At 39.5% G+C, this 20421-nt stretch overlaps 1 protein-coding gene and 1 non-coding gene across 8 annotated transcripts in view; one reads left to right on the top strand and one right to left on the bottom strand.

Annotated features, from left to right (window-relative positions):
• Window positions 1-20421, top strand: part of SF3B1 (splicing factor 3b subunit 1) — a 45310-nt gene that overhangs the window by 11737 nt on the left and 13152 nt on the right. For 2 of the 7 annotated variants that reach the window (NM_012433.4, XM_047443840.1), the window contains exons 3-13: window positions 2224-2328; window positions 2815-2929; window positions 4769-4848; window positions 6446-6616; window positions 13350-13587; window positions 14776-14988; window positions 15238-15359; window positions 17885-18082; window positions 18180-18281; window positions 19593-19772; window positions 20322-20408. In NM_012433.4, the coding sequence (NP_036565.2) occupies window positions 2224-2328; window positions 2815-2929; window positions 4769-4848; window positions 6446-6616; window positions 13350-13587; window positions 14776-14988; window positions 15238-15359; window positions 17885-18082; window positions 18180-18281; window positions 19593-19772; window positions 20322-20408 (1611 nt within the window). Of the gene's footprint in view, window positions 1-2223; window positions 2329-2814; window positions 4849-6445; window positions 6617-13349; window positions 13588-14775; window positions 14989-15237; window positions 15360-17884; window positions 18083-18179; window positions 18282-19592; window positions 19773-20321; window positions 20409-20421 lie in introns of those variants that run through there. The other 5 variants (XM_047443838.1, XM_047443839.1, XM_047443841.1 and 2 more) reach the window with 5 other exon arrangements.
• Window positions 18503-18639, bottom strand: LOC124900524 (small nucleolar RNA SNORA4). Its single transcript, XR_007088716.1, has one exon. It is a non-coding gene; the product is annotated as a small nucleolar RNA SNORA4 (small nucleolar RNA).

The following is a 20421-nucleotide window of genomic DNA, read 5'->3' as shown; positions in this document are numbered from 1 at the left end:
CTGTCATCCAGGCTTGAGTGCAGTGGACTGCAACCTCCGCCTCCCGGTTTCAAGTGATTCTCCTGCCTCAGCCTCCCAAATAGCTGGGATTACAGGCGCCTGCTACCATGCCTGGCTAATTTTTGTATTTTTAGTAGAGATGGGGTTTTGCCATGTTGGCCAGGCTGGTCTGGAACTCATGCCTTCAGGTGATCCACCTGCCTTGGCCTCCCAAAGTGCTGCGATTACAGGCTTGAGCCACTGCGCCCAGCCTGGAATTTTTCTTAGTACTGATATTGATGAGCTTTTCATGTCTGTTTGAATTCCTATGGAGGAGGACTGCCTTTCATTTTGAAATCTGTTCCCTCAAAGCATTTTTTATGTATTCCAGGTAGCTTATATTTTATCAGACCATTCCAAACTCCAAATTTGGTGATTCAGTTACAGATAAATTTTATTTTATGTATATAGATTATCAAACTGGTTTTTTTTTTTCGTCTCACTCTGTTGCCCAGGCTGGAATGCAGTGGTGCAATCTTGGCTTACTGCATGCTCCGCCTCCAGGGTTCATAGCATTCTCCTGCCTCAGCCTCCCGAGTAGCTGGGACTACAGATGCCTGCCACCAAGTCCGGCTAATTTTTTGTATTTTTAGTAGAGACGGGGTTTCACCGTGTTAGCCAGGATGGTCTCGATCTCCTGAGCTCGTGATCCACCTGCCTCAGCCTCCCAGAGTGCTGGGATTACAGGCGTGAGCCACCGCGCCTGGTTATTTTTTATTTTTTTTTAATTTTTGGATAGGTGATGTATATTTCTTTTTTTATTATTATTATACTTTAAATTCTAGGGTCCATGTGCACAATGTGCAGGTTACGTATGTATACATGTGCCATACTGGTGTGCTGCACCCATTAACTTGTCATTTACGTTAGGTATATCTCCCAATGCTATCCCTCCCCCCTACCCCCACCCCATGACAAGCCCCGGTGTGTGATGTTCCCCATCCTGTGTCCAGGTGTTCTTATTGTTCAGTTCCCACCTAGGAGTGAGAACATGCGGTGCCAACTGGTTATTTTTAAGAAATTCAAGTCACATTTTATAGTTGGCTCTCTTCCTCTTTTTTTTTTCTTGAGAGAAATTTAAAAATCCCAAAAGGTGAAATTTCTAGAAGCCAGTCATGGACTAGTTAGCACTTTATTTGGGGGTCTCATACCCTAATTGTAAAAGAAAGTGATAGCTATAGGTTTCAGAAGCTGAGGGGGAAATTGTCACTTTATCTTTAAATAAAATAAGTGAGGTGTTAAGATCTGGAGAATTACCCCGTGTTGCACTTTTTATTTTTTATTTATTTTTATTACAATAGAGATGAGATCTCACTATGTATGTGGTTTTGTTTTTTGGAGACAAAGTCTTGCTCTGTTGCCCAGACCAAAGGCAGTGGCCAGATCATGCCTCACTATAGCCTTCGCCTCCCGAGATCAAGCAATTTTCCCACCTCAGCCTCCTGAGTAGCTGGGACTACGTATGCACACCACCACGCCTGGCTAATTTTTGTATTTTTTTTGGTAGAGACAGAGTTTCACCATGTTGCCCAGGCTGGTCTTGAACTCCTGGGCTCAATTAGTCCCTTGCCTCGGCCTCCCAAAGTGTTGGGATTATAGATGTGAGCCACCTTGCCCAGCTGGGTCTCTGTTGCCTAGGCTAGTCTCAAAACTCCTACACTCAAGCCATTCTCCCACCTTGGCCTCCCAAACAGTTGTACTTTTTATACTAGAAAAGTAACAGTATAACATTGTTCTGTTTAAACATACTACTAGGGGCAAATAAATTTAAAATTAAATATTTGTTTCTATGGTTGTTAAATTGTGTTAAAAAACATGAGTTAAAAAAAGAAAGTAGAAAGTTCTAAAATAAGCTGTAGTTATCAAATTGAAAAAACATTTTGTCTTCTGTGAAAAAATTAAATGCACAGGTTTTTCTAGTCCATACCTACTTTATCTTAATTGACGTCTATAGAAAATATTCCTTGCTTAATCATTTTAAAAGTAAAGATAACTTTACTGAATTGAATTTAATAGATTTTTGAAGTGAAAGAAGACCAATTGTGTTTCTAAGTTTTATGAAGGAGGGCTTAGACATCACACTGTCAATAGATCTTTTGATTTCATTTTGAATCTTTGCATATTCTTTCTAATTTTTAAGTTCTAACATTTTGTTTATGGCTTTTTGGGGGGTTTTCATTGCAGGATGACGATGACTATTCATCATCTACGAGTTTGCTTGGTCAGAAGAAGCCAGGATATCATGCCCCTGTGGCATTGCTTAATGATATACCACAGTCAACAGAACAGGTGATCTTTCATTTTAAAAGCATAGTTTATTCAGCTAAAGAAAAGTGAATGTCTGAGTTCCCATAGAAATCCATAAATTTTAGGATGCTTTAAGGATAATTATAAATAATAACTTATTTTGTAAAGGTGTAATCTTTTTCTTTTTGACACAAGGTTTTGCTGTCTTGCTCAGGCTGATCCCAAACTCCTGGGCTCAAGGATTCCTCCTGTCTCAACCTCCCAAGTAGTTGAGATTATACACACAGGCTGTCATGCCTGGCTGTAATCATTTAATGAAGCATTGAACTATGGAAATGTGGATATGTATATTACCTTGTTTCCATGTGCCTTATTTTTTTATATTTAACATTTATCTGTGAAACGGTACAGAATATTAGTAGGCATGTATTAAACATTTGTGCTTTATGGTGTTCTGATTTTTGTTTATGATATTCTGTTTTGTTATTTTAATAAAGTGGATATTAAGTGAGACATACCTCTTTTCAGTATGATCCATTTGCTGAGCACAGACCTCCAAAGATTGCAGACCGGGAAGATGAATACAAAAAGCATAGGCGGACCATGATAATTTCCCCAGAGCGTCTTGATCCTTTTGCAGATGGTAATTCTTTCCCACTTTTCTATAAGTATTCAGAAATTTATTTGTATTAAGTTGTCTTTAGCCCTTTGATTTTTTTTGGCATGCTTCTGAATTTGCTTTTCTTTTTAAAAATCCCCCTTACTATAGATTTGTATAGATGTGGTTGAAGTCACAGATGCCATATTCTTCATCTTTATAATGCAAGTTTTCTTTCCAGGTAGAAGGACAAGAAAAAAATGAGCCAATGCCATAGAAACGCAAAGGGTTAAAGGTTTTACTTTTACTTTTGTTTTGGGTACGCTTTCTATACTTGGATCAAATGTATTTTTCTGCTCAAAATACTTTCAAATTATTGAAAGTTTTCATTCCAAATCCTAGATTTTTAGGATTGTTACCCTTGAGAAACTGTTTCTCACACTAGAGCTCCCCCCATAGTGCTCTAAATATAGCTTAGTAAAGGCACCTACTTTGCTCTAAGCATACTTAAAGTTAAAACAAAAGTATGTATACGAAGAGTTTGATATTTTTAATAGTTGGAGTCTGTTTTGCTAATTTTAGTGTGCAAGTCAGCACAAGGGGCATAGTGAGCCTGATGGAAGCTTTCCTCAGGTGAGTGAGTTTCACAATCAAAATTAGGTGCCTGTTTCTTAAAATTAGATTCTGCTGCAGGTTTACATACTAGACTTTTCAGCCTGCATGAATTAGTAGGGATATTCTTTTTTTACTTGCATAATTGTAATTGATTTAAACATGTATGCCAGAATTCACAGGCCCATACTAACTGTCCTTAATTTCTTTCCTACAGCAGTACTGCTATATGCCAGTCCTGTCTGCATTCTTAAGGGTGCAGTTCAACACATCCTCTCTAGATTATGGTGAAAAAGTATTCCAAAGGAAGTCTTATCAGAGCTAGTGTCAGAAAGAATGACACTACCAATTGGGCATGATCTTCAGCATAGGAAATGTCTTAGAATTTTATTATTTTTTCCTAAATTGTGATGCTATACTACTTGTATAGCTAGTTACCACATTTCTAAAGCATAGTGTGCCTCTGTGAATCTTGTTATATACTGTTTGGGCTTCTGTAAGATATTTTGAAGTTTGAAAAGCAAATACTGAAACTTTAACCAAGAGACTGACACATCTCTTTGTACACCACGTTGCTTCTGTGTGCATCATAATAACTGGTAGAAGTAATATATTTAAAGTAATATGTTTCCAGTTTTAATTTATGCTTTCTAAGAAATAAAAATATGTTTTCTGGGTCAACAAAACTTAAAGCATGAAGCCCTTTTTAGTAACGTGACATCAGAATAAGATTATAGGTATATTTTTAAAATCAGATTTTCTAAACTACAATTGTTTTAGAACACTGTATGAAGAACTTATCTAGTCATAGTTATTTGTAGTCAGGATTTTAACAGCTTGCAACAGGTAATGTTTTGAATATAAATATCTTTCCAAAGTGTTACTAATGGTAAAGAGATAATTTTCTAGGCTTCTATTCTGCTGCTTGAAGTCAGAACTGCTGATGGAGACAAAGGCACGAAAGTGTACGTATTCCGGATTAGCAACCCAGGAACCCATCACTTCTGAAGACTCTAAACTGTGCTGTCATTTTGTTTTTATATGCATTAAAATATTTGTTTTAAACTGCTGTAGATGTTTGTGTTCAAACAGGTTAAATTGATCAGCAAACTCAATAAAAAGTAAGATGTATAATTATTAAAGTTTTCCATCAAAAAATAATTTAAATGATTATGGAATAACATAATATTTAGAGCAGGGCAGATAAATCAGTTGAACCTGCTTATTTTTTATTTATTGTACTCTTTTTCCTGTTGCTGTTCTTTTCTGCAGGAGGGAAAACCCCTGATCCTAAAATGAATGCTAGGACTTACATGGATGTAATGCGAGAACAACACTTGACTAAAGAAGAAGTATGTAAACCTGTCTCCTGTTTTAATGGTTGTGAAAGAATATAAATACAGTTGTGATTGAGAGACTGTTAGGTTTCTTTTTTGCTATTTGCTGCACAAATAATAGTATTAATAAAAATTAACTGAGAAAGAATCTTACCCCCAAATTATACCACCTTCCAAGTAAAACTTTTCATTTCTATATCCTTTTCTAGTCCTGGGCCCCTTGGCTGTATATGTTTGTATGTATGTGTCTCACAAGGGATTTTTTTTTTTTTTTTTTTTTTTTTTTTTTGGACACAGTCTCACTCTGTCATCCAGGCTAGAGTGCAGTGGCGTGATCTCATCTCACTGCAATCTCTGCTTCCCAGGTTCAAGTTATCCTCCCACTTCAGCCTCCCGAGTAGCTGGGAACACAAGTGTGTGTCACCATGCCTAGCTAATTTTTGTATTTTTAGTAGAGATGGGGTTTCACCATGTTGGCCAGGCTGGTCTCAAACTCCTGACCTCAGGTGATCTGCCTGTCTCGGCCTGCCAAAGTGCTGGGATTACAGGTGTGAGCCACTGTGCCTGGCCATTACAGGGGTGGTTTCTGTGTGGAGAAGGTTGATGGTGTGTATCTGAACTCAGTATGTTAGGGAAAAGTCAGAGTTCAGTGTGAGATTCTGTAAGTTTCGGTTTGGATGTAAGTGGAGAATTTTGAATAATTCCTTTTGGCCTACAGAGATTATGCCATTTTGTCTAATAACTGCCTACTTTTTGTTTGTTTGTTTTGAGTGGAGTCTTCCTTTGTTGCCCAGGCTGAAGTGCAGTGGTGCGATTTCAGCTTACCGCACCCTCTGCCTCCTGGGTCCAAGCGATTCTCCTGCCACAGCCTCCCGAGTTTCTGGGATTGCAGGTGTGCACCGCCATGCCTGGCTAATTTTCATATTTCTTTTTTTTTTTTTTTTTTTTAGTAGAGGTGGGGTTTCGTTATGTTGGCCAGGCTGGTCTCGAACTCCTGACCTCAGGTGATCTGCCCGCCTTAACCTCTCAAAGTGCTGGGATTACAGGTGTGAGCCACCGTACCCAGCCTCCTCCATTACTATTATGAATATATAATAGATTTTATATGTTGAATGAGTTAAATGGGATGGTAAAACCCCATTTTAACAGTACAGAGTGAATTAAATGTGCATCCATTATCACTATGCATATTTACATAATTTGTCAGTATAAATAAAACAATTTTATTATTTTTATCTTTTACCATTTTTCTATCTTGTTCCATAGTCTTAATTGCTATTTATATGAGTTTTGAAGAAAACCCTATTTTTCAGTGGAAGCATTATGGTTCTCCATTGTTGACTGAAGATTTTACTTCACCTCCAGTATATAAACTACAGTGTGCTATGTTACGAATTCTGAACTTGCTTATCTTTTGTTTAGAAAGGCATTATGTAAAACGAAATAAAGACGCACAGACTATGGAACCAGCGAGCGTAGAAAGGAGATCACCAGTACATAGAAAAGAGAATGAGCAAAGTATAAAATAGGATGTTAAGTGGAAGTGATTGCGCTAATGGTAGAAAAATACATTGAAAGCATTTTAAAGGTAAATACTCACTGTTTTTTTCAGCGAGAAATTAGGCAACAGCTAGCAGAAAAAGCTAAAGCTGGAGAACTAAAAGTCGTCAATGGAGCAGCAGCGTCCCAGCCTCCATCAAAACGAAAACGGCGTTGGGATCAAACAGCTGATCAGACTCCTGGTGCCACTCCCAAAAAACTATCAAGTTGGGATCAGGCAGAGGTAATTTCTTTTTGTTTTTTGTTATTACTGTTAAAAAATTTTTTTCTGTTATGGACTGTATTAGTCTGCTTGGGTTGCCATAGCAAGATACCACAGACTGGGTGCCTTAAACAACAGACATTGATTTTTTTCGCAGTTCTGGAGGCTTGAAATCCAAGATCAGAGTGCCAACAGGGTTGGTGTTTGTTGAGGGCTTTCTTGCTGTGTCCTCACATGGCCTTTCTCTGTGCCAGCAAGCTCTGTTGTCCATGCTCTTCCTATGAGGACATCAGTCTTACTAGATTAGGGCCCCACCCTCATGACCCCATTTGACCTTAATTTACCTCCCTAAAGGCCCAGTCTCCAAATACAGTCACACTGGGGGTTAGGACTTCAACATACAGATTTTGAGGGGCATGCAATTTAGTCCATATTATGGAATAAGGAAAGTTCTTTTTAGAATATTAAATACAGACCTGTAGGTATGTTACATTGTGGAGGTTGAGTATGATATAGTGGTCTTCCTTATCTTCTGGATAGATAACTTAAGCCCCTCACTACTGGCAGCAAATAGTCAATGCTACTCCTTTCTCTTGGCCAGTCTACTCTCCTACCTTTTTTTTTTTTTAAACATTTGTTTTGGAGGCTGAATGCATTGGCTCATGCCTATAATCTCAGCACTTTGGGGGTCCAGGTGGGAGGATTGGTTGAGCTCAAGGAGTTTGAGACCAGCTTGGGCAACAGAGGGAGACCCTGTCTTTACAAAAAAAAAAAAAAAAATTAGCTGGGCATAGTGGTGCATGCCTGTAGTCCCAGCTACTGGGGTATGGGGGGTGGTGGGGGCTGAGGTGGGAGGATCCCTTGATCCCCGGAGGTAGAGGTTGCAGTGAGCTATGATCATGCCGCTGCATTCCAGCCTGGTGACAGAGTAAGACCCTGTCTCAAAAAAACAAAACGATGGCATCTGTAAAATCTTTCTTAGAAATGTATTTCCTAGTTCTGTAGAAATGGTTGTATTAGATGTTTTCTATCATTTAATAATATACTTGCAGACTAAAAGATATAAGTGCTGCATAAAAGTAGCTAATTATGTTAAACTGTCATATGTGCCTTTATTATGTTTGTCATTATCCTGAATAGAAAGGTCTTTAAAATTGATTTTTTAGAAAGCACTTGAAAATATTTAATCATTGCTAGAAAAATAAAGCGGCTGGGTGCGGTGGCTCACGCTTGTAATCCCAGCATTTTGGGAGGCCAAGGCAGGCGGATCTTGAGGTCAGGAGTTCAAGACCAGCCTGGCCAACGTAGTGAAACCCTGTCTCTACTAAAAATACAAAAAAAATTAGCTGGGCATGGTGGCGTGTGCCTGTAGTACCAGCTACTTGGGAGGCTGAGACAGGAGAATCACTTGAACCTGGGAGGTGGAGGTTGTAGTGAGCTGAGATTACGCCAATGTGTTCCAGCTTGGGCAACAGAGTGAGACTTTGTCTCAAAATAAATAAATAAATAATTAAAGCTACTCTTTTGCTTATGCACCATTTCCCTTCCCCTCTTGGAGACTCTCATCATGTACCATTAATTTTTTTCTCCATACTAGATTATCAGCACCAGCAAACATGTTTTATCGTGCTTTGTCTTAATAACAGCAACAAAAAACCTGCAGAAAACATCTCTTAACCCCATTCACATCCGCATTCAGCTACAATCCTGTTTCTATATCTTTTTAGAACAAAGTGCTTTGTTCTTTGTTTTTTTCTTGAGGTAGGGTCTCATTCTGTTGCCAAGGTTGGAGTGCAGGGGCGCAATAATAGCTCACTGCAGCCTCCACCTCCTGGGCTCAAATGATCTTCCCACCTCAACCCCCCAAGTAGATGGGACTATAGACACGTACCACCATGCCTGGCTAGTTTTTTATTTTTTTGTAGAAACGGGTCTCACCATGTTGTCCAGGCTGATCTCAAACTCCTGGGCTTAAGCAGTCCATCTGCCTCAGCCTTGCAAAGTGCTGGGATTACAGGCATGAGCCACAGATGCCTTGAATGAGTTGTTTGTACTTGCTTTCCCTGCTTACATAGTTCTAGTCTTATGTAATTTCTAGTCTTTTTATGTAGTTCTAGTCTATTCCACCTAAAATCTCTTGTCAAGGTCACTTGGCCCCTAATTGATAAATTTAAAAAGTGTATTTTCATTTCTCACATGATTTAGCATACCAAGAATATTTGACATTTCTTCATACCCTTTTCTCTCTCAGTCTCTGGGTTTTAGTCTTTCTTGCTTCCCCTCAAAATCTCAGTGGCTACTACTCCTTAGTCTTGTTTGCTGGATCCTCATTCTTCTTACCTCTGAACTTTGGGGTGTTATAGTAGTGCTGAGTCTTTTGGATTCTTTTCCATCTGTGCTCAATCCCTAGGATCTCATTCTTGTCTTTATGTACCGTTTGTATAAGATAGCTGCCAAACTTACAAATCTGTCCTCTGCTTCTGTTCCGCAGACTTGCGTATTTGTTCAGCTTGACGTATTTATTTGGCTGTTCAATGGGCATTTCAAAATCAGTATTTCTAAAAGAAAATTATTGATTTTCTTCGCATACATGTCTTCTCAGTCCTGCTCCCCTGGTCTTTCCTGTGTCTGTTTGGCTCAAGCAAAACATTAAGGGCTGGGCAGAGTGGCTCAGGCCTGTAATCCCAGCACTTTGGGAGGCCAAGGTGGGTGGATCATTTGAGGTCAGGCGTTCAAGACCAGCTTGGCCAACATGGTGAAAACCCCGACTCTAGTTAAAATACAAAAATTAGCCCGGCATGTTGGCGGGCACCTGTAATCCCAGCTACTTGGGAGGCTGAGGCAGGAGAATCACTTGAACCCGGGAGGTGGAGGTTGCAGTGAGAGGAGATCGTGCCACTGCACTTCAGTCTTGCGACACAGCGAGACTCTGTCTCAAAAAAAAAAACAAAACAAAACAAGAACAACAATAACAAAAAAACATTTAGGGAGTCATCCTATACTCCTTATTCTCTTACCCCATATCCTACCCATATACATTTTCTTGGCATCACCTTTAAATATATTAAAGAGCTAGCCACTTTTCATGATCTCTGCCTCTACCATCCTAGTCTAAATCACTATTAGCTCTAGCCTAGACTGCTATAGATTTAATTTATAAACCAAGAAAAAACCTATCAGATCATGCAGTATTTCCCCAAACCCAGAACAGGGATATATAAAACCTAATACATAATTTCTAAACAATTTAGTTTAAGGTGAGGACTTCTCATTTGCTTGGTTATATGTAGGAGGGATTTGGTTCTGTTCAATATAAGTAACTACTAGCTTTATTTTTAATTTTAATTTTAATTTTTGAGACAGAGTCTTGCTCTGTCACCCATGGGTAGCTGGAGTGCATTGGTGCAATCTCAGCTCATTGCAATCTCCGCCTCCCAGACTCAAGTGACTCTTGTGCCTCAGCCTCCCAAGTAGCTGGGATTACAGGCATGTGCCATCACGCCCAGCTAATTTTTGTATTTTTAGTAGAGACAGGGTTTCTCCATGTTGGCCAGGCTGGTCTTGAACCCCTGGCCTCAAGTGATCCCCCCACCTTGGCCTCCCAAAGTGGTGGGATTACAGTTATGAGCCACCATGTCCAGCCAAGTAACTAGTAACTTTAATTCTATGGATGACATTCAGTACTAAGTTTGAGAAAGAGAAAGAAGTTTGTCCTCCTGTTAATTGTTTAACTGTATGCACATAACTAGACACAAGAGCTGATATCTTTTTTTTTTTTTTTTTTTTTTTTTGAGACAACAGTCTTGCTCTGTCACCCAGACTAGAGTGATGATTTTGGTCCCCTGCAACCTCCACCTCCCAGGTTCAAGTGATTCTCCTGCCTCACCCTCCCAAGTAGCTGGGATTACAGGTGCCTGCCACCACGCCTGGCTAACTTTTAGTAGAGACAGGGTTTCGCAGTGTTGGCCAGGCTGGTGTCAAACTCCCAACCTCAGGTGACCCACCCGCCTTGGCCTCCCAAGGTGCTGGGATTACACGTGTGAGCCACTGCGCCTGGCATGAGAGCTGATATGCTGATATCTTTCTTATAAAAACTACAGAGACTCGGCCAGACGCGGTGGCTCACGCCTGTAATCCCAGCACTTTGGGAGGCCAAGCGGGCAGATCACCTGAGGTCGAGAGGTTGAGACCATCCTGGCCAACATGGTGAAACCCCGTCTCTACTAAAAATACAAAAAATTAGCCAGGTGTGGTGGCAGGCACCTGTAATCCCAGCTACTCAGGAGGCTGAGGCAGGAGAATCGCTTGAACCCGGGAGACAGAGGTTGCAGGGAGCCGAGACTGCGCCATTGGACTCTGGCCTGGGTGACAGAGTGAGACTCTGTCTCAAATAAATAAATAAATAAATAAATAAATAAATTAAATCAGAGACTCAGACTTTTTTAAAAATTCTGTTCATTTAATACAACTGTACCCTAGTCATAATTGTAGGAATTACAATAGATAATAGAATTCATTTCCCACCTTTCCTTATAATTCAGCAGGAGGGACAGATGCCAGAATGGAGATTTTAAACAATTTGTGTGCTTTATTTACCTAATCCAGAATTTTTCAACCCTGAGTAATAGTAAAATCTTTTTTTTTTTTTTTTTTTGAGACAGAGTCTCACTCTCACCCAGGCTGGAGTGCAGTGGCGTGATCTTGGCTTGTTGCAACCTCCGCCTCCTGGGTTTAGGCAATTCTCATGCCTCACCCTCCTGAGTAGCTGGAATTACAGGTGTGCACCACCACACCCAGCTATTTTTATTTATTTTTATTTTTTATTTTTAGTAGAGATGGGCTTTTGCCATGTTGGCCAGGCTGGTCTCAACTCCTGGCCTCAATTGATCTGCCTGCCTGGCCTCCCAAAGTGCTGGGATTACAGGCATGAACCACCATGCCCAGCCCTGAGTAGTATGTTTTTAAGGGAAAAACTATTGAGTCTTAAACTTGTTTAATGGTACCATGCAAATTTGCAAACATAAAGGTAGATGAAGTCCTTGTGTCTATAAGAGCTCCCAACTTTCCCAACTTTTTTTCTTTTTTTTTTTGAGACGGGGTCTCACTCTGTCGCTCAGCCTGGAGTGCAGTGGTGCTATCTCGGCTCACTGCAAACTCTGCCTCCCGGGTTCACACCATTCTCCTGCCTCAGCCTCCCGAGTAGCTGGGACTACAGGCACCCGCTACAACGCCTGGCTGATTTTTTTTGTATTAGTAGAGACGGGGTTTCACCATGTTAGCCAGGATGGTCTCTATCTCCTGACCTTGTGATCCGCCCGCCTCGGCCTCTCAAAGTGCTGGGATTACGGGTGTGAGCCACCGCACCCGGCCAAGAGCTCCCAACTTTAAAACAAATATATAAAGTACATTACACATCCTGTGGAATACTTACGAGGCAGTATATAAGTACAAATTTTGTTTTCTTTACACTCAACTCTATGCTACTTTGATATGATACTATCTTTATTGGTGGAGATTCTTTTGCTATTACATGCAGTCAGTTGTCCAACTATTACTCTCTGTTTGAACTACTGTGGAACCCTTGATGTTACTTAAACCCACCTCTCAGCCTGGGCAGCATAGTAAGACTCTTATCTCTCCAAGAAATAAAAAATTAACTGGGTGTGGTGGTGTGCGCCTGTATGTAGTCTCAGCTACTCAGGAGGCTGACATGGGAGGATCACTTGAGCTTGGTAGGTGGAGACTGCAGTGAGCCGTGATTGTGCCACTGCACTCAACCTGGGCGACAGAGTGAGACCCTGTGTCAAAAAACAAATGAAAATCCACCTCTCATCTTTTTTCATTAATCTTGCCAGCATCAGCTAGGGTAATATTATTTGGTACACATGTAACTGTACATACAAACTGATCTCAAGATTGAAATCATGTGACGGTATCTGGTTATAATTACATAGGTGGGGCCTGGTGCGGTGGCTCACGCCTGTAATCCCAGCACTTTGGGAGGCCAAGGTGGGTGGATCACGAGGTCAGGAGTTCGAGACCAGCCTGACCAACGTGGAGAAACCCTGTTTCTACTAAAAATACAAAAATTAGCCCGGCGTGGTGGCAGGCACCTGTAACCCCAGCTACTCAGGAGGCTGAGGCTGGAGAATCACTTGAACCCGGGAGGCAGAGGTTGCTGTGAGCCAAGATCATGCCCCGGCACTCCAGCCTGGGTGACAGAGCGAGACTCTGTCTCAAAAAAAAAAAAAAAAAAAAAATTACATAGGTGATCTAAAGCATGTTTATATTAATTAAACACACACAATTAAACAAAACATCAACAGGACTATTTTCTTAGAACACACGAATTCCTTCTCCCCTAAATATGTGTCTCTAAGCCCCACTTTGAGAAGTACTAATGTAATTAGAGCTGAAAGCCTTCGATTACTGATCTAGATAGAGAAACCTCAGTGATTTCCCCCAGTCACAGAGCTATTAATGGCATATCAAAGATTCATATCGATAATATTTTGTTTTTTTAAGCTGGGACTTTTGTCAGTGCTTCGGATTGAAACTTTACATTGTTTTTAATCATAAACATTTGCTAGAAAGTAGGTATCTTTTCCTATAAGTAGAGGTAGTGTCTTCTAACTTTTCATTAATTATAGTGCATAGAACTAAAACATTTTTCGTTTAAAGTTTTTTATTTTATGGAAATTTTCTAATTATTTCTGTGTGGGTGTGTGAAATAAAATTTTTTTGCTTTTTTAAGACCCCTGGGCATACTCCTTCCTTAAGATGGGATGAGACACCAGGTCGTGCAAAGGGAAGCGAGACTCCTGGAGCAACCCCAGGCTCAAAAATATGGGATCCTACACCTAGCCACACACCAGCGGGAGCTGCTACTCCTGGACGAGGTGATACACCAGGCCATGCGACACCAGGCCATGGAGGCGCAACTTCCAGTGCTCGTAAAAACAGATGGGATGAAACCCCCAAAACAGAGAGAGGTACTTCTAGTGGAGTATGGGTGTGTGGGTGAAATGTTGAGTGATATGTTTACAGACTGAAATGTGTTCTGTTTATTCCTGGGTGGACACGTATAAATAACCAGCTGCTTTTGGGGGACAGATTAAGAATAGAACAGTTCATATGCCTAATTTTTTCCACTTCTTGAAGTGGTTTAAGATTTAAGGAAGAACCTTAGGTAAAAGTAAAGTTAGTAGGCTGTAACCTTTGATTTTGTGTGTTTCTTTAGAGATAGGGTCTTGCTCACTGTAGCCTTGACATCCTAGGCTCAAGTGATCTTCCCACCTCAGCCTTCTTAGTAGCTGAGACTATAGGGGCATGCCACCATGCCTGGCTAATTTTTTTTTTTTGAGATGGAGTTTTGCTCTTGTTGTCCAGACTGGAATGCAATGGCGCGATCTCAGCTCACTGCAACCTCCACCTCCCGGATTCAGGCGATTCTCCTGCCTCAGCCTTCCTGAGTAGCTGGGATTACAGGCATGCGCCACCAAGCCCGGCTAATTTTGTATTTTTAGTAGAGACGGGGTTTCTCTATGCTGGTCAGGCGGGTCTCGAACTCCCGACCTCAGATGATCTGCCCCCCTCGGCCTTCTGAAATGCTGGGATTACAGGCATGAGCCACCGCTTCCGGCCCCTGGCTAATTTTTAAATTTTTTGTAGAGACAATGTCTTGCTTCATTGCCCAGCCTGGTGTTGAACTCCTGGTTTCAAGTGATCTGCCAAAGTGTTGGAATTACAGGCATGAACCACTGTGCCTGACTTACCCTTTGTTTTTTATTATGGAAAAATGTACATAACATCAAATTTACTTTTTTTGTTGTTGTTGTTGAGATGGAGTCTTGCTCTGTCACCCAAGCTAGAGTGCAGTGGTGCGCTCTCGGCTGACTGCAACCTCTGCCTCCCCAGTTCAAGTGATTCTTTTGCTTCAGCCTCCTGAGTAGCTGGGATTACAAGCGCCCACCACCACACCTGGCTACTTTTTGTATTTTTAGTAGAGACAGAGTTTCATCATGTTGATCAGGCTGGTCTCAAACAACTTTAAATGGGTCACCATTTTAGGAATATTCTATTTTAGAACTTGATAGTTTTGAGTATAACTGTTTGAGAATAAAGAATATTATTTTAACAGTGATTAAAATTGTGGTTTTACTCACTCTTTCTTTTTAAAGATACTCCTGGGCATGGAAGTGGATGGGCTGAGACTCCTCGAACAGATCGAGGTGGAGATTCTATTGGTGAAACACCGACTCCTGGAGCCAGTAAAAGAAAATCACGGTGGGATGAAACACCAGCTAGTCAGATGGGTGGAAGCACTCCAGTTCTGACCCCTGGAAAGACACCAATTGGCACACCAGCCATGAACATGGCTACCCCTACTCCAGGTAGAACTGTCTCATTGGACATAATTGTTTTTTTCTCCATAAATTATTTAATTTTTTCCTTTGTGGTATTCTGTGTACTATTAATGTCAACTTCTAGTAAGAATAAGGAGATATACAAATTTAAGTCTTGGTTTGCGTTTATAATATAAAAGCAAATAATAGGATTGATCTTAACTGTCTTTTATCTCAATGTATGTAATAATACAGTCTTGTACTATAGATTATATAAAAATTTGCTTTTCTTGGTAGGTCACATAATGAGTATGACTCCTGAACAGCTTCAGGCTTGGCGGTGGGAAAGAGAAATTGATGAGAGAAATCGCCCACTTTCTGATGAGGAATTAGATGCTATGTTCCCAGAAGGATATAAGGTAGTACATCAAATTTGAATGAGGTGGTATTTAGGATATACATTTATTTTAAATAGTGAAAAAAATTGATTAAGCTTGCATTGGCTTTGCCCAAATTTACTATTGTCATTCCATTCTCTTAGCTATTTCCAGGTATATTTCAGTTCCATATAGAGATGAAAAGAAATGAACAACATGAAACTTTTATTACTTTTTGAAAGACATCTCAAAGACTTGTGTATGGGTCTATCGGTTATACTTTGAGAACTGCTGGTGCTTCAGTTTTCTAGCAGTCCCAGGAATAAGCTCGTTGAGATTGTGGTTATTTTACTTGGTGCTTCACCAAGATTTTATATACTTAAGTTTATGGATTGTCAGTGGACACAAAGAATTTTTTTTTTTTTTTTTTTTTAAAAGATGGAGTCTCACTCTGTTGCCCAGGCTGAAGTGCAGTGGCGTGATTTCGGCTCATTGCAACCTCCGCCTCCCAGGTTTAAGCGATTCTCTTGCCTGAGTTTCCCAGGTACCTGGGATTACAGGTGTCCACCACCATGCCCGGCTCATCTTTGTATTTCTAGTAGAGACAGGGTTTCGCCATGCTGGCCAGGCTGATCTTGAACTCCTGACCTCAAGTGATCCGTCCCTCTCAGCCTCCCAAAGTGCTGGGATTACAGGCGTGAGTTACCGTGCCTGGCCTTTTTATCATATCAACCTAAAATTTATTTTGAACTATAAAATTTTCTAGGTACCTGGTACTCAGGGAGTATTTGTTAGTCTGAAGATAGTCTGTGGTCGTATAGCTGACATCATAACCAGGGGGAACCAGATAACTTTGTAAGTCATCTGATGGCCTTTACAGAGCTTTTTCTGTTAATGACTATTGATTTTTAACAGTTCATGAGTATGTTTTTTGTTGTTTTGTTTTGTTTTAGAGACAGGGTCTCACTGTGTTGCCCGTACTGGAGAGCAGTGGCGCTGACATAGCTCACTGCAGCCTTGGACTCCTGGGCTCAAGTGATCCTCCTGCCTCAGCCTCCTGAGTAGCTGGGGCTACAGGCATGCACTACCATACCTGGCTAATTTTTTTATTTTTTGTAGATACGGGAGTCTCACTGTGTTGCCAGGCTGGTCTCAAACTCCTAGGCTCAAAGTACCCACATTGGCCTCCCACACTGCTGGGGATTATAGGCATGAGCCACTGTGTCCAGCCTTGTTTTGTTTTTGATCCCCTGTTATTTGTGTTAGAGTATTTGTTTCAAGTTTGCATGAAGTTTTGCCTTAAAGCTTTTTGTAGCCTCCACATAATGCTGTGGGTATAGATAGAACTGTGGGTATAGATAGACAGAACTTACTGTTGACTGCCTGCATGTCTTTCTCAGTCGTAGTCATTGATTTCCTTAGTGTCACTAGGAGGAAAAGTCTCCCTTAGTGAATCCTACTAATAAGCAACGTCCTTACTAGTGAATATAAAAATATAGTAGACCTTTAAATCCTTAATGGCAAGTGATGCCTGTGGACTTGACATTGATTTCTCTAGGCCTCACATCTTTAGAGTATCCACTTTATCCAAAATGCTTAGTGGTCTGTGCTGGTGCAGACGTTAACTAGCAACAAAAAATATCTGTGCAAAGTACAGATAGCATCAATATAAATTTAACATAATTTAATCTTTAATAGACAAAACAATTTTAGGCTCACTGGAGAAGACGTGTATAGGTTTATTGACCTCTCCAAGAAGTTGTATTTTTTTTCTTTTACTATATATTAAATTATATAAAATAGAGATGGGGTCTTGCCATGTTGCCAAGGCTGGTCTCAAACTCCTGGGCTCAAGCGTTCCTCCCATCTCAGCCTCCCAAAGTGCTGTAATCCTGGCCTGTCCAGAAGTTGTTTTTTTTTTTTGAAGTCTGTTACCAGCTTTAAAAAAAAAAAAAAAAATTTCTTTGTGATTTTCAGCCTGCATTTTTTGAAATTTTACTCGTTTTGCAAAAGGTTTGATCAGGTGGTGTGTATTTTATAGGGCTTTGGCAAACATTTTGGTTTTAGTTTTTATGCATTTAACTAATTTTTGTAGAGTTTTACACTTAAAAGATTTTGTAGTGCAAGAATTTATGTGACATTTTAATACTAAAATATAATTTTTTATGTTTTATGCCCCATATGAGCTTATTTCCATTTTATATAAATCTTATGAAACATTATTTGCTCGACTACAGCATTTTTTGGAATTGCTGACTCAGATTTTATAATTTTCAAATTTTTAATAATTTGACATTTTGACCCACAACATGTTTGAATGTGATTAGTATTTTCTAAGCTCTTCTCTTGTGTTTCCTCAGTTCCCTACACCACGGATATAATCAGTTAGTGGATGAGAAGTATATATTTTAAGTTTCTAATTAAGATAGAAAAGCAAGATAGATGTTGTCTCCAAGCAAATAAAAACCTTATTAGCTAATAAACTAAAATATTTTAAGTGCAAATATTGTTCATTATGCTGTTTTTTAAGTTAAGAAAATCCTAAACTGTCTTATAACTTTTATTAGGTACTTCCTCCTCCAGCTGGTTATGTTCCTATTCGAACTCCAGCTCGAAAGCTGACAGCTACTCCAACACCTTTGGGTGGTATGACTGGTTTCCACATGCAAACTGAAGATCGAACTATGAAAAGTGTTAATGACCAGCCATCTGGAAATCTTCCATTTTTAAAACCTGATGATATTCAATACTTTGATAAACTATTGGTAAGTGATACTAGCAGAAATAAACTATTAATTGTGTTCCAGAATTATAAATCATAACATTTCAACTTCCCTTAACATTTTTTTCTTTTTACTATAGGTTGATGTTGATGAATCAACACTTAGTCCAGAAGAGCAAAAAGAGAGAAAAATAATGAAGTTGCTTTTAAAAATTAAGAATGGAACACCACCAATGAGAAAGGTAAGTCCCAGTTTGTTAAATTGTCATGTTTGTTGCTTATTTATTTAATTAAAAAAAATTTGTAGTTTTTGTAGAGACAGGGTTTTGCCATGTTGCCCAGGCTGGTCTCAAGTGATCCTCCTGCTTTGGCCTACCTCCCAAAGTGCTGGGATTACAGGTGTGAGGCTCTGCACCTGGCCATGTTTATATTTTTAAAAATGTTTTTAATTTTTTCACCAGGAAATGTAGACCACAAAATAGTAGTGAACTATTGGTATAGCCCGCTGTGGAGTGTGGTCTTTCCTTTACTCTCCCAAATAGCCCAAATTGGTAAAGGTTATTTAGAAAGCCTTCCCCATAAAAAATTAACTTTTGGTAGTGTTATATTTTTGTGTTTAGGAATTTATAATTACTGTCTTCATCTTTATCAAGGACATAGCATGAGGGGAAAAAATTTATGTAGTGTGAAGGATTTAACTTTTTTGCTTGTTTTTATTATTAATATTATATATATATTTTTGAGACAGGGTCTTGCTCTCTTGCCCAGGCTGGAGTGCAGTGGTGTAGTCTTGGCTCACTGCAACCTCCGCCTCTTGGGTTCAAGCAATTGTGCCTCAGCCTTCCAAGTAGCTGGGACTACAGGCGTGCACCACCACGCCCTGCTAATTTCTGTATTTTTAGTAGAAACGGGGTTTCACCATGTTGGCCAAGCTGGTCTTGAACTCCTGGCCTCAAATGATTAACCTGCCTCGGTCTCCCAAAGTGCTGGGATTACAGGTGTGAACCACCATGCCCAGCCGTTTGTTTTTATTATTATTTAAATACTCCTGGGCTCAAGAGATCCTCCTGCCTCAGTCTCCGAAAGTGTTGGGATTACAGGTGTGAGCCACCGTGCCCAGCTGGAGTTAGCACAAAATTCTTTGGTTAAAAAAGCTAATAAAAATGCTGAAAAATGAGATTCTCCTTTTTGTTCTTAAGGCCTTTAAAATATGCTTAAAGCTTGAAGATAATTAGTGAAATTATGTGAGGGATTATGTTAACACTATATGTGCCTTGGAAATGGAAGATACTTCAGGGAAATGAAGGCATTTAGTACATACCTCTGTGGTTCGTTCTATTAAATTACTCTTTTGAGTTAACATAAAATTTCTATCACAGGAATTGAAATTCCAGAGTAATTTGGATGGAAATGAACTCATGCTGTCTATGTAAAATGTGTGTAAAAGTAAACACTAAAATATTAAAGTATGGAAAATCTTCTTTGAGTAATTTGCTCATTCAAAATGTTTGATTATAAAGAAACCACACCTATTACTCTGCTCTTTTTCCCAGGCTGCATTGCGTCAGATTACTGATAAAGCTCGTGAATTTGGAGCTGGTCCTTTGTTTAATCAGATTCTTCCTCTGCTGATGTCTCCTACACTTGAGGATCAAGAGCGTCATTTACTTGTGAAAGTTATTGATAGGATACTGTACAAACTTGATGACTTAGTTCGTCCATATGTGCATAAGGTTTGTTCTCCTTAATAGTGTTTCTGATAGTTTAAAGTTTTAACTTTTTCAGTTAATCAATGTTAAATTTACATATTCTCCTAGACCTTTTCCTTTGCACAAGTACACACCATACATGTACAAATACAGTTTTATACAGATGTACAGATGTTAGTTTTTGTCATCTTTGCCGTAAGAGGTTCATATTATTTAATTTTTTCATTTGCTTTTATTAAAATTAGATTAGGATGAGAACATATGAGAACTAACGCCAGTTAGTATTAAGAACCAGTTTTTTCACCGATGGTAATTATGGTGCAGTATGTTCATAGGGTGTATAAGTTATTTCTTTAAAAAATATTGAATATTAGTGTGTCACTAATAGCTCTCTTAAATTTTCATCTCTGTCTGGAGTTTGAACTTGTATAATTAAAATTCTTAAACAGTTCGTCCCTTGATTAACAAAAGTCCTGATAATTCTAAATTTCTTATGTATGTTTAATTCTGTACATGAGCATTTCATCAGTAATTGATGTGAAAGTGTAGCTTCTTCTCTTTTCTCTTTTTCAGATCCTCGTGGTCATTGAACCGCTATTGATTGATGAAGATTACTATGCTAGAGTGGAAGGCCGAGAGATCATTTCTAATTTGGCAAAGGTATTTACATTTA

Source organism: Homo sapiens, chromosome 2, assembly GCF_000001405.40.
Source record: "Homo sapiens chromosome 2, GRCh38.p14 Primary Assembly".
Lineage (NCBI taxonomy): Eukaryota > Metazoa > Chordata > Mammalia > Primates > Hominidae > Homo > Homo sapiens.
This window is presented reverse-complemented; position numbering and strand designations above follow the sequence as displayed.